The 15,258-nt window shown below is 33.6% G+C and overlaps 1 long non-coding RNA gene across 1 annotated transcript; it reads right to left on the reverse strand.

Annotated features, from left to right (window-relative positions):
- Window positions 1-821: 821 nt before the first annotated feature.
- LOC105377270 (uncharacterized) lies at window positions 822-14,796 on the reverse strand. Its single transcript, XR_938859.2, has 3 exons — window positions 14,727-14,796; window positions 2,138-2,201; window positions 822-918 (listed from the first exon to the last, which is right to left on the reverse strand). It is a non-coding gene; the product is annotated as an uncharacterized LOC105377270 (long non-coding RNA).
- Between the last annotated feature and the right edge of the window lie 462 nt (window positions 14,797-15,258).

A 15,258-nucleotide genomic window follows, 5' to 3' on the forward strand; every position in this document is an offset into this window, starting at 1 on the left:
CAGACCTCACCGTGCTATTCCTTGAGCTCTGCTCCAAAGATATTCTTTCAGCAAAGAGCTTTTTCATTTCCCCTGTGCCAAGAGCTTTTCTACATACTGGGAACTTAAGCACAGACAATAGCAAGGAGCCTACTCCCACTGAAATTACATGAAGATGGCATTAAGCAGAAAATAAGTAAATTTAAAAATTCAAAATTAAGATAAAACAGGTGCTTAAAAAATACTCCTAAAACATAGTGCTATGAAAAAGTTTGGGGGAACCACGTGCAGTGGTTCATGCCTATAATCCCAGCTCTTTGGAAGGCCAAGGTGGGAGGGTCCCTTGAGGCCAGGAGTTCAAGACTAGCCTGGGCAAAATAGTGAGACTCTGTCTCTATAAAAATTAAAAAAAAAATAGCAAGGCATGGTAGCACATGCCTGTAGACATAGCTACTAGGGAGACAGAGGCGGGAGGATGGCTTGAGTCCAGGAGTTTGAGGTTGTAGTGAGCTATGATCATTCTACTGCACTCAGCCTGGACAACAGAGCAAGACCTAGTCTCTAAAATAAATACATAAATAAAATTTAAAAGAAAATAGTTCAAGGGGATTTCAACATACTTTAACACAAAATTTCAGTGTCAGCTAATAATATATAGCAAGTCCTCACTTAATGTCTTGATTATATTCTTGGAAACTGACTTTGAGCAAGAGGACGTATAACAAAACCAATTTTACCATAGGCTAATTGATAGAAGAAAAAAAGTGTAAAGTTCCCATGGCATATTTCTGGTCACGAAAACATTGAAATAAATGTAAGCTATACATAAATTTAAGAAAGATTAATAAAAACAAATAAGAAAATCATTTACCCAATTTTTGGTGAGTCAATGAGCAATGGCAGTCATGGTGGTGGTAGGTTAGATCAAAATGTAAATGTCTGCAAAACAAAAATTGTAAGGAGCACCTCCGACCTACCACCATGCAGTTCAAAAACAAACAATAATTAATGTGATGGTCTTGCTGAGCTCTTTTGGACCACACTGTCTGTTGTTGTGCATTTATATGATCTTTTACCATTTTTATTTTATATCCTTTACAATTTTTATTTTTCAATAATTTGTCTTCATTCATTCATTCATTTTCCAACTTGTTTATTTCAGTTTCAATGGTGAGAGACTATCCTAGCAGCTTAGGGCACAAGGTGGGAACAGCCCTGTACAGGATGATGTCCTGACAAATGTGTTACTTCTACACATTTGTCACAATGGCAAAAACTAATGGCACCATATGTTGATAAAATTTTGAACTAACTGGAACTAAAACCAGTAGATGCGTAGATGACACAATCACTTTAGAAAACTGACGGTGATCTTGGGGAAAGGAATTGGTTTATATCTTGGACCTAAGCAAATACATGGATTTATAAAAATGTAATATTTTAATGAGCTGTACACTGATATTGTATATGTTTTACAGTATGTAAATTTTACCTAAATTTGTAAGTGTTCCAAAATAACATTTTTTATGTTCCTTTTCATCAAACATTATCAAGAATCTAGGGGTGGGGGATCCAACAAAAGAAGGGCATGACTTCTGTGGGAAAGTTTATAAAACTTTGGTAAAGTAGACATCAAAAAAATGCAGATCCTATGTTCATGGATTGGGAACTTTGATAATGTAGATACAATAATATGTTTCAGAAATTCAAACCAGTATTCGAAAATTGACAATATGATTTCTACATTGTCAGATAAAATCAAAGAACCTGGAAAAATCAATAAACTTAAACAAATGCATGTTTGAAGGGCCTATTCTAGAAGATAACAAGAGTTATTATAAATCTATAACTAATTAAAACTCTGGTATTGAAAAGACAAACAAAAAAACAATGGCACAGAAAAACAAACATAAAAACAGTCTCATGCATAGGGACACAATTTATGAAAGGGTTAGTGCTGCAGTTTTTTTCATGGTAATACCATAACCAATTAGTTATAAATATGGAAAAAAATTAAATTGGATTTCTACTCAATATCAGGTCAAAATTCAACTCTACGGTTGTTATGGACCCAAATGTGAAAGAGAAAACTAAAGTCTTTCAGAATATGACATTGCAGAATATCTTCATGACATTTAAGTAGAGGAAGAGTTCTAACCTGAAGTAAACTAGTGATGATTTTGACTGTGTTGAAATTAAGAATATCTGTTCATCAGCGTATTCTGTAAAGATAGCAAAAAGACAAGCCACAAATAAGCAATAAAATACTCACACCTTGAACATATATACATCTGAACATTGGATTAGAATGGAGAGTCTAGAAATGAGCCTTTACGCTTACAGTCAACTGAATTTCAGTAAGAATGCAAAGAAATTCAATGGGGAAAGAATTTTTTTTCAAAAAATAGTACTGGGACAATTGGACATCTACATGCAAAATAATTAAGTTGAAACCCTACCTATCAATCATTAATAAAAATGGATTATAGACCTAAATGTAAGAGTGAAAATTATAAAATTATAAAAATTATTTTAAAAAATATAAAAATTATAAAAACTTTTGGTTTAAAGCACAAGATTAAATCTTCACAACCATGAATTACACAGGGTTTTCAGATATTACACCAAAAACACAAATGGCAAAATAAAAAATAGATAAATTGGAACTCAATACATATTTCAAACTTTTGTGCATCAAAAAAGCACCATCAAGAAAATGCAAAGACAATCCACATATAATGAAAGAAAATATTTACAAATCATATATCAAATAAAGGACTTGTATTCAGAATATAAAGAATTCTTACAAATAACACCATTTAAAAATGGGCAAAAGATTTCAACAGACATTTCTCATGACAAGATATACAAATCGTCAATAAGCACAAAAAGATGCTCGACATCATTAGTCATCAGGGAAATGCAAATAGAAATCACAGTGAGATATCACTTCACACACCTACAAACACGGTTAGAATAAAATAGTCAGAAAACAAGTGTTGATGAGGATCTGAAGATATCAGAACCCTCATACATTGCTAGTGAGAATATACAATAGTATAGCTGCTTTGCTGCTTTGAAAAACAATTTGTCAATTTGTCAAAACATTAAACATGGAATCATTACTATATTTACACCTTTTTACTTAGCCGTCCAGTAAACAACTTAAATATAACGCTTGTCTAATACTCCACTACTGATTACCTCCCCATAGGATCTCTCCCTACTGCTATCTTCCTCCTCTTAGTAACTCAAAACTTGAGTCCTTCAGTTGTGCAAGCAAAACACTTAAAAGTCTTTCTTGATTATACTCTTTTTCTAAACTCCAATAGCTGACATGACAAAGTATTTTGGAAATGCCAACTTCAACATACATCTAGAATCCAAACATTTCTTTGTTTTAATTTTTGTGGATACATAGTAGATGTATATATTATGGGGTACGTGAGATGTTTTGATACAGGCATGCAATGTGAAATAAGCACATCATGGAGAATAGAGTATGCATTCCCTCAAGCATTTACCTTTTGAATTACAAATAATCCAATTACATTCTTTAAGTTATTTTAAAATATACAATTAAGTTATTACTGACTATTGTGCTATCAAGTAGGTCTTATTCATTTTTTGCCATCCCTCCCTATCACTATCATATACAAACCACCATAATCTCTCACTGATTATCACAATCACCTTCACCTCCTAACCTCTCCTTTCTTATGTCTTCCACATCCTCCTAATGTGTTTTCTACACAGCAGTAAAAGGGATCATGTCATAGTCATCTCTGTCCTCCTGAAATTCTGCAAGTGAATCACTGTGTCTCATGCACAAGTTTAACGAGGAGAATAAAGTATTTAAATAAGTGAATCATATATTTAAGATTTATTTTTCCAATAAAAGTACAAAAGCAATTCTACTATTCTACAAAGGAAACGTTCACTGTATTTATATTGACAAACATTGCTTTTTAGCAGTCTGGAATATCTCTTTTTTAAATTAAAGAGATAAAGAAGACATCTACAAAGAATACTGCAAATCTCTCATGCTGTGATCCCTTTTTTATAATAGAGGAGATTAAAAACTTCTCGAAATGATAAAGGATATGAAAGCCATTAATTCTTTGAGTAACCATATAAATTACTAGTGGTGCTGAGATGAAAAGACTGGTTTGTTTAAAGATAACAGGCCCTGAGTTTTTTAAAGAGTTTATATAGCTGTAAATCTAGGCATTAGATCCTTTCAGAAGAATTATTTGCTTATCATTAATCTTGGAAATAAGGTAATTTTGTTAGCAACAACTTTATTCCCTCTGTTCTCTTTATATATGTGCCAGAGGAGAAGTTATTCAAAGAATGGCAGTAAAGTTTCTTGTGGAAAGCTATACTGATTGTATCTTAAATAAACCATTGATTAATTAAAATTCAATGATTTGTGAAGGGGAAAGTAGGTTAAGGAGTTATAAAAATAATACACAGCATAAGCACTGTGCATGACGATGCTAATATTAAATATTATCTAAGATTTACTTATCATACTACTAAGAAAAATGTGAAGTTCAAAAGCCCAAAAGAAGTATCAATAGTACATTGTCAATATATATGTCTGTGTAGGGTTGGGTCATATATCTCATTGCTTTGAAATGTATTTCTTTTTTCCAAAACATTTCATTATTTTTTCCCCTTCCTGTTCATTGCTTGCCATGTGAAATAAAACTTCTCTATACATCTCAATCACAAAACAATGCAGCTTCTTTTCTTAGGGGTGTTTATCTCTTTCACTGTGTGAAAGTACAGCATTGCTTTCATTACTTGGACAATAAATATATTCTCACTAAAATCAAAATTACATCCTGCCACTCTCTTCCTGTGCTTTTCTTTTTACACATTTCTTTTGTTTCAATGCAAAATCTGATGTAATATTTTACAGGACATTAAAATGTGAATTTAATAAAAAATTCACTATTTTTAAAACTTAATCTAAACACAGTAAGGAGACATCTATTATTAGATAGATCGTGAGTTGAGGATATTTAAATATGAAAAACATGCACCTAAGGATCAAAGAAATCCAGCAACTTTGAGCCGATCATAAAAGATAATAAAATGGTAAATCAAAGATTATACATGGAGATGTCAGAGGAATTATTAATGATTTAAAATGATTTAAACTTTTCTTGCCTACAGCATGAATAACTAAAGTATGATTTCATAAATTATTTTAGATATATGAAAACAGTGACATATAATTCATGAGAAATTAACCTCCATCTACATAGGGAGGGAGAGTAGAATTAGTCTCAATCCAAATAGAAGGACCAAATAAATATGCAATATGGAGGTTATGGGTTGCTCTTCATATGGGTCTTAATCCCAAATTTCCCACATCCTAAAACTCTGCCTAACTCCTTTAAGCCTCAGATTTCCTCATCTTCAAAAAAAAGAAGGTAATGACTTAGAATCTTACAAATTCATATATAGAATTGATGAAAGAATATTGTAAAGAATTTGGCATAGCTTAATCACTCAAAAATCTTTCTTCATGTTAACATTATTATTAAGTCATTTAACAGGAAATAAGCCACCACTTCTAAATAAATTGAAACAGAGGGTCGTTTTCAAGCAAGTAGCCTTTATATATACAATTTAATGCTTCCCACTCAGTTTCAACACTTTCACACGAATTATTTTATGCATACATGACACATTCAAAACCCTGAAATAATAATAGAAAGTTTTTGGGAAAATAATAAAAATAAAATGGTAATTAATTAATTAGTGAGAAAATTAATTACATTATTTGAATAATAAAATAGTATTATTGTCATATCCAAGTATCTAACTCTTTTGACTATGAGAAAGTGGAAGTATTTCTCTTGGAATAGTTCTATCAACATTTCATTAGCATTCAATTAGCATTCAACGTTGAATTTAATATTTTATAAATGTATTGGCTAGTTTTACTTATAATGTTTTACTGTGGTTTCTATTTCAAAATATAATTGGATTCTCATTTATTTTAACTAGCAAAAAAACTTTTATGAAAAGTTTTTATTATTAACCAAAAATATTTATTAATTGAAACTGTGTTTTTCTATTTTTCCTTAGCATTTAAATGACCATGAATATGATCAAAACAACGTTCATATTAAACACCTAACTATAGAATAGACTCCCTGGTTTTCTGGTGATCAATATACCTGTTTTGTGTACACCATTCATGGATACAGGTAACTTATGATTTACCCTGGATGTAACAAATGAGCTCTAAATTGTTTTGTTATAAAATATTCCATAAACTCAGACAAAAATATGCGTAATAGATAGTAGAGTATATTGGTTTAGTGGTTAAATAATATGGATCTGGAATCAGATAAAATAGAATTAATGCTAGAATAAGCTACAATAGGTTAAAAATTTCAGGTTCATTAATTAAAAAGAATGTAGCTCAAGGCAAATTGTTTCTCTGGTGTTTTCTCAAACAGCACTGGGAAAATGCTAGTACAGCAGGTGTTCACATAACATCATTTAGTTAAACGTCGTTTTGTTACAACGTTGATGAGAAAAATGTATACCGAATCCAGCTGGAGCCACTGTCTATGGAATATGCACATTATCCCCCTTGACTTCATGCATTTCTCCAGATACTCCAGTTTCCTCTCACATTCCAGAGATGTGCATGTTCTGGCCACCTGCAGCCCTGAACTGGAATCGTTGGGTAATCAATTGTCTTACTTGTTTTTATTAACCTTCTTAAATGTATGTATGACTCACATTTATTTCAGTGTTTAATATTAGAAGTGTTTTGGTCTTTATTTAGAAGTTTGGTGATGGTTTTATGAGCAGAAATATACCATAAGAATTTAACTCTTGTTTATATCCATTAGCTATTGGTTTCCTTAGACATCATTTCACTTAAAGTCACAGTTTCCAAGAACCTATCAACAATGTTAAATGAGGGCTTAGCATACTGAACTAATAATTTTTAGTAGCATATGAGATTATGTAATATGTCTATAATATAGTAAGCACTCACTAAATTCTGTTATTGCCGTATCCTTTTACATATCAATGGGATTTTTCCTTCAGAAAAAAATTCCTTTCTGTGCAAATAAAATCAGTCAAGTACTGGCAAGTACAATCATTTCTCACCTAGCCTCCTGACTTATCTAAAATATAAAAGTGAACATTTCCAGAAATAGTCTAAATCCAATTAGCTTTCCACCTTTTCATAGGAGTAAAGTCTTGAGTACATTTTACTAAAATAAAGGAGGCAAACAGGATGTGGAGGAAGTAAGTTGTAGAAAACAAGTGATTATCTGGTTTCTTCATGAATACTCCAGAAAATGTGAATTTAATACTACTGGAAAGAACCAGCCCACTTTTAGAAAATTAAAGTTAATTAAATTGACCCCAAAATGATCAATATAATATTTTACAATATTACTACTAAAGTTGAGAGAAGAATAACCATATTGGAGTTAGGATGGTTGGTACAGACATATCATTTGTAAAAACCCAACCCTCATACTTGCCCCTGTCTTCGAACCACAATTTTAGAATATATGTTAAAATAACATAATCTTAAAACATCCACAAGCCCTCCTTCTTCCCTTCTCCTCACTCCACATCCCTCTGCAATTCCTTACCCTATCTCATTCCTCCACTCTTTCCCCCTCCGTTCCTCTACTCATCCCTATCTCCTCTCCTCTCCTCCCCTCCCCTCCCCTCCTCTCCTCTCCTCCCCTTCCCTCCCCTCCATTCTCCTCTCCTCCCTTTCTGTCTCTCTCCTTCCCTCTTCCTCCTTCCCCACCTCTCTCATTTTTCTCTCTCCTCCCCTCCCCTTTCTCTCCAGTGCTCTGATTGGCAGGAAAATCACCCAAGGATTTTTCTGGCCTGCAGATTCAATTCAGCGGGTCCGCAGTGGAGACTGAAATTCTGCATTTCCAACAGATTCCAGGTGATGCCGATGCTGCTGGGCTAGAAGCCACAGTTGTGCAACAAGGCAATCCAGGGATACAAGAAATCAACACCATAATTCGATGTTCTTATTTTTTTTCCTTCCAAAATCAGTCTAAATTTTAATTATATACTATGCATTGCAAGAAAATAGCAAAGCTTGTTTTACTTTTTTGGCAAATCTATATGTCTACTGAGTAGGAATCAGTAACTGTGCATAATTTAAACTCACAATTAAAGCAGTGATAACAATTCCTCTAAGTACATACCTGGCTCCAATAATTTAAAAGCCTGATGTTCATTAAGTCATGATATCTGCTGTCTTATTTTTTATTGTCCTCACTATCCAAAAATGTATTATTAAACATTTTAAGACAGAATTCATATTTAGTTTATGAATGTAATTATTAGCTATTTGTTTACTCCAAATTTTCCAAAAAGCCTCTCAAGAAAGATCTTTCAACATAAAGCAGAGGAAGACCACCAAGTAAAAATTTTCAGTGACAGTGCCAGTAGATAATATTGATCAGACAATCAGAATCCCCACAGATGGCATACACATATATAAATGATAAAGTACAAAAGAAAGACCCTGAATTATTTCCAATGCCTACGCCTATTATAAATCTGTTATTTAAAAAAGGTTATTGACTGCCAAAGACTTATTTTAAGAAATACTAAGTTGCAGCAAAAAGAAAATGTTGAAATTACAAAGCCAGAGAAACTTCAATTTTGCTTTTATGAGCCTTTATACATTTTATAAATACCAACTTAATATTACTGTTATTTTAATATTATTGTTCTTTTTACAGATGAAGAAATCAGTGAAATCTATATTAAATGCCTTTCCCCTCTTTAAAATTTTACTTCTGATTATGCATTAAAATATATTTTTGTTTTGCATCGTGTTCTTTAGTCAGCTTAATTACAGAAGTAATGATTATGTGGATTGTCTTTCATTCTCTTTTAAGAAAAAAATGTGTTCTATAGCTGTAAAAGATTATTGTTAGAATTTAAAATATGCAATGGCAATAAACATTCTTGACAATGTATGTACTTCATAAACAGACTATTTAAATTGTTTTTATTTATTTAATTTTGTTTTTTTATTTCCTAAACCTTCTTCCTGAGAGACTGCAGGAAGTAGCAGGAAGGGAAGAAGCTATTGATCACCGTTGACCTCTCGCAACTCTCCACTATGCCCAATCTGCATTTCCCATCTCAGGGAAGGACAGGACTGTCTTGGAGGTGTCCCAGTGCAAGATAGGGGGACATCACTTTTCCTTCCTCCTTTATCGCAGTAGGGACCAAGTCTTGTCTATTTCTCTGGTTCCAACTTTCCTGTGCATTTCTACCACTTCATCCTATTCATGATGCCTCTGTCCCTCTCAATTAGGTGGCATGCTTCCCATTTCTCCCCACATCCCAGCTGTTCTTAATCTAGTCTTGAGATTAACATAAACTCAGTGGGAATTGCATTCAGTTTCGTTGGCAAATTTACAAGCACTCATATTTAATTGTTAGATATTTAATAAGATCTCAGATCTTATTTGTAGGCCTTATACATTTTAACATGTTCATTCTTGGGTTTTCTTTCATGCTATTTTGTTTCTGTTGACTTATTTTTATTTTGTTTATTTATTTTTAAATATTTTATGAAGTTGTCACATGCATATCAAAAGTATATAACTTATAATTTTGCAGCTCAATGAATTATTACAAAGAAATTATATTATTCTTGAAATAAAATCTGAACTGTTCTCCTCTGGTCTAATAGACACACAAAGCCTCTCTATACACTCTCTTCTATATATAACTAAATAAGACAAAATTATTCTAGTTGTTCAGAACAAAAACACTGATGTTATCCTTTGTTCCTTTGTCATATGCCACATAGGAAATCATTAATCAGTCATAATAACACTATCTTTAAAAATATCCAGAATCTAGCAACTTGTCATCATCTGGACTACAAGTACCTTATTCACAACCACTATCATTTCTCATGTGAGTAGCATAGTAGCCTCCAAACTGGGCATCTTGCTTCCATTCTTCTCATTTTGAGTCTATTCTCAAAATCAACATCATTACAAGAGCGATCATTTCAGAATATCAGCCATGTTTTTTCACTCTTCTGCTCAAAGCCTTCCGTGAGATTCCTATGTCATAATAAAAGTAAGAATACCTTTAAATGTTGGCTCTCATCTCTTTGACTATGCCTCCTAATGTTCTTCCTTCTACTATAACACTCCTACTATAATACTGGCCTCCTGGCCAACCTTTGAAAACACTGGATATATTCCTAACTCAAGGCCTTCGCATCTGCTGTTTCCTTTGCCGAGAATGCTCATTTTCTACGTGATTTGCATCCTCACCTCCTCTGGGTGTTTGGTCATATGTAAGGTTTCCAGAATTAGCATGAATAAAGGGTAAGATACCAAGTTAAATTTTAATTTTGAATAAACAATGAATCTTTTTAGGATAAGTATATCCTATGCAATATTTGGGACATACTTATGCTAAAAAATGTTTTTCTATCTGAAATTGGCTAAAATCCTTAGGAAAGAAGGAAGAAAAACTAACCTCCTTGTTATATTGTTTCTAGTTAACATAATCCATTAATTACTTAAACAGAATACACACAATTTAAGTAGCATCACTGTCCTCATCCCTGGATCCAGGTAAGGCAGAATTGCTTACAGAATGATGTTTGGACAAGGCCTATTTGTATTTGATTTTGCTATCACCCTTGTTTTTAGTCTTTCTCTCTCGCTTCCCCCGACACAAACACAAACACACACGCACACACACACACACACACACACACCTCTACATTTACTTCAACCAGTATCTCTCTTCTTTGAACTATTGTAGTTGTCGATTATACAACTTCCTCCAACGGAGAATCAGAGAATGGAAATAATTTTGCCAATATGAAAAGAATTAATGTCTAAAATTATTGTGAAAGACAGTAGTTTCCTGTAAAAAATTGATCATAATAAATTTTTAAATTGCAATACAATTATCGAACTCAGTGTTTCTGCAAAGAAATTAGTGGTACCTGGATGCAAAGCACAAAAGAGAGACTGATTAACAGGTCTCAATTGTGATTAAAATCATCAAGTAATTATGGAAAGGAGAGGCTGATCCACTTCAACAATGGAATGGAAAAGCAGAATAATTCACATTAAGAAAAACATTCAAATATGATATCTGAAAAATCCCTTCACTTCTCTCCAATTGTGTCACCAACGATTCATGGATACAAAGGAATTTTCATATAAAAATTTATAAAAAATACTTATTATATTGTCGAATTTCAATCCCTGCAGCCTCTTTGTCAGCTCTATTTCTATCAGTTCCTCCTGAAGAAAGAGCAAACCCTCCAGTGATGGCTCCAGAAAGATCTCAACAGCAGCTTTCATCCTCCAGCACTGGAAGGAGGGTGATGTGGGGAAGAGAGCAAGTTGCTACTGTAACTTTCTGCAGTATAAATTTTAAATACATGTAGCACTTGGAAGTCCTATTTTATGGGCCAAAAGATCTCAGTTCCTTAGCCTATATGCATGCATCTGTTTCCCAGACATTTAATTGTCTTAATTATCTCCCTGAGATTTTCTATAAATCCTCCACACACTTCAAACTACACATCTAGACACAGTAATCTAAATACCTGGCATTTACTTAGAATAAAAGTTCCCTTATTTCAGGAGAGTTGTTCTTTAACTCCAACAACTCAACAGGTCAGGAAAATGACAATACACAAAAGACAAATTTCAGTGATACCAGCTCCGGGAATAATTATAAAATGGTTAAAAGCTGTCTGTAGTGGTCTCGGGTTTATAAACCTGTTCCCATCTACCACAAAATCTTCTCACTGTCTTCCTATTCTATTCCTATCTATACCTGGTCCCTCAAAGGTACCTTAACAATATGAATGACCTTTTACAAAGCACTCTTTCTAGGGCAGCCTGCACTTTCATCTTCAACCTTTTGAAATTTTAAGTCTTTGGCACTTATTCATTTAAGTAAATGTTTAAGCATTTCTTTTCAAGAAAAGGCAGCACATTATCAGAGCTCAAAGCCCTAACATAAAACGACTGTGTTTGAACAGAGATCAAAAGCTCTCATGAAAATGAAATCACTCTTTTCTGGGGAAAATCTTGGCATCACTGAGCAAGTGATAAGCAGAACACATGGATGAAAAAAAATTTGGCCTTTGAAATTACCAAACTACGTAAACAATTGGCAAAAATACAGTTCAATCATGCCTTTGGGGATGTACACATTTGGCTGGCCTCTGGTCTGTCCTTTTAAGCCCTAGTGCACCAATAATAGCATTGTCCCTGAGGTACCTTGAGATGAATTTAATTCTGACTTTTCCTCCTGTCTTTGTTTCCTGTGACTTTTCTCTGGTTGGCAAACAAAGTGTCTCTGTTCTTGTTTGTGAATGTCTGTATTGATTTCTGTCATCATACTTATTTTCCTTGTACTAAACATTAATCCCTGGTACATACCTTGAGTGAACTTGTCCTTTGTGGTCATAAATGACCTGTTAGTCTATGCCCTTCTTAGTGGAATTCGCACGGAAGCTGGATACACCTCCTAATGTTGTCATGAGGGTTTGGGGAATCATTTTGTAAGTTTCTGAGTTGGCACTAAATTTCTATTGGTATTTAACATTAAAAAACCTGTACATTAAAAAAATGCCTAGATTTTAATTGATTCCCACTATGGATTCCACTTATATTTCATAATGTATAGGCATTACTTAATAAACAGTAACAGTCAGACAAATAGCACCCATCCATCACATATTAGATTTAATAATTGAATTTCAACAGATAACAGAGCTCTTCCGGAAGAAGTAGTTTGAATATTCTCTCATTTTTACACTTCCAAACTTTACTTACAGAGAAACTATTTGAGATACATACACATTTGTGAATCCCAATAGACACCATAAGTACAAATCTACCCAGCATAATTTCTCCCTTAGCAATAGGATCTGAAGCCTTTCAGATTTTTTCACCAAATCCAATTAGCTAAGATTAAGTTTGTGTTATCTACAGTATTTGGAGATGTATTTTCTATGGTATGAATCTAGGACTTCTGTAAAATTTAGGATGCTGCATGATAAATACGCGGTTTTGTTTTTTTTTTAATTAGAAAAAAAGAATAACACTGAAGGGGAAAAAAACACTGAATATATGTATAGCTGATGGAAAGAGCGCCCTCATGTGGTAATGCACAAGCAGAGCTGGATTGCATTGAAGTTGTTGAAAGTTTTACCAAGTCATGGGGCCCCCCTTGTGCCCATTTCAGCCATTAACATGGTTTAGCCTTGAAAATCCAACACACCACAACATTCTAAGTAGCTACATACCATCAGTTATGACAGGCACTTAAGATAAAACTTTAGTTCCTTTAATTAGCCGCAAACATTTAGGGAAAATATTCAGAAGTAATCAGATTCAACTGTAACTTGTAAGATTTTTTCAAGTTTCTGATTTCATATTTCATTGTTTTTTCTTTAAATGTTAATGTTTCTATGTGAAAGACTTCATTGTCCAAAAACAGGCAGGTAAAATGAAAAACTTAATTCTGCAACAGTAGCACATCACCAACCATATATAACCCCTTTCTTGCTCTCTCTCTCTCATTCACACACACCCATAGAGAGACAGGCACACACACAAGCACACACACACACACACACACACGGGTATCCTTTCATTTAGGGACTTTCTTGTCCTATTATCTGTAGTTCATTCTTACCAAAACCATGTAATATTTATTCTACCATCACCCCATCAAGTACCTATATACAAATGAAGCCACACAATTTGTAAACTTGACTGGCTCTATACGTTGTTCATGGAACAGAGGATTTTTCATCCTAAAGTAAAATTAGTGACAAAATATATATAGCCTATATTCATTAATAGAAACCCTCAAGTAGCTGTTACAAGAGTGAAATTGTAATTAAAAATCATAAAGTTTTGACAGTACTGCAACTACCATTAAATTAGCATGGCTCATGTAAGTGCTGAGATATCAACAACCTTACGTCTCAGGTTATTGAGATTATTACCTAATCAGAGTTATAAAACCTGAAGTTCAAAGAATGACTGGGACTGGTCGCTGATTGATAGTTCCAGAAATTAAGCCCCTTGCATTACGAAGCACTGAGAGTTGAGAGGTTGAGATGAATGAAGTGGGCATATTAGCAATATTAAAAATAATGATAGATATAGCTACTATTTAATGAGTACCCACTATATGCCAGACAGTATACAAAGTACTTCTTATAATGTGTTTTAATTCTCACAATGGTCTCACAAGGCACATGTTAGTCTAATTTTACAGATCAGAACATTAGGACATGGAAAGGTTAGGTAGCTCTCTTGAAGTACTACAGGTAATATATTACAGAGATAGAATAATCTGATGCCAACATAATATACTGCTTCCCACTGGAAAGTAAGATGGAATGAAAAATCCTAGGAAAAAGCTTTAGTAGGATTAAGGGAGAAAAATAATTTGGGTGGAGTAGAAGGAAGGGTTGTGGCAACGGAAAAGGTGAAAGTAAAAATCAGTAAACTTACTGAGATCTCTGATTCCATTTTTTTAAATTCTATATAGTCAGAATATATTTATTCTAGTTGTCCATAAATTCTAGTTTCTAATCTGTATAATTGAATGTCAGAATTGGAAAAGCCAATCAATAAATCCCTCTTCTATGAAATCAATAATTTCCTCAAAGATGTCAATTGACTTCTAGATCTTACCGTTAGTAAATGGCAAAGTCAGGATGGGAACATGGTTGGGCCCTGTGCTCCTGCCACAGCACCAACTCAGTGGCCCATTGCATTGGTACCCTGCCTTCACATTTGCCTTAAGTCTGTCCATGGCACTGCTGCCAGAGTGATTTTGCAAAAATACCATTCTGACAGTGTAATAATAAAGACAAGCTAAACCATGCTTCAGTGACAAACAACCCCAAAATATCAGTGGCTTGAAACTATGAGATTTATTTCTCCCTTGCACTATATTTTCCCTGGCTCAGTTCAAAGTTCTGCTTTACACTGTTCCTTCTCAGGGATCCCAATTGTAGAAACTCAAGTTGATGGAAAAGCTACCACCTGGAACATTGCTAGTGGCCACAGCTAGTGGCCACAGCAAACAGAGACAGTGCTGAATAATCTTAAAATTTCCAGCCAGAAGTGACATGTGCTATTTCTTGTTCATACTTAATTTGTCAAAGTAAGTTACTAAATTCAAGGGCTGGAAACTGGTACATTACATGTCCCCAGAAGGAGG

This window comes from Homo sapiens, chromosome 4 (assembly GCF_000001405.40).
Source record: "Homo sapiens chromosome 4, GRCh38.p14 Primary Assembly".
Classification (NCBI taxonomy): domain Eukaryota; kingdom Metazoa; phylum Chordata; class Mammalia; order Primates; family Hominidae; genus Homo; species Homo sapiens.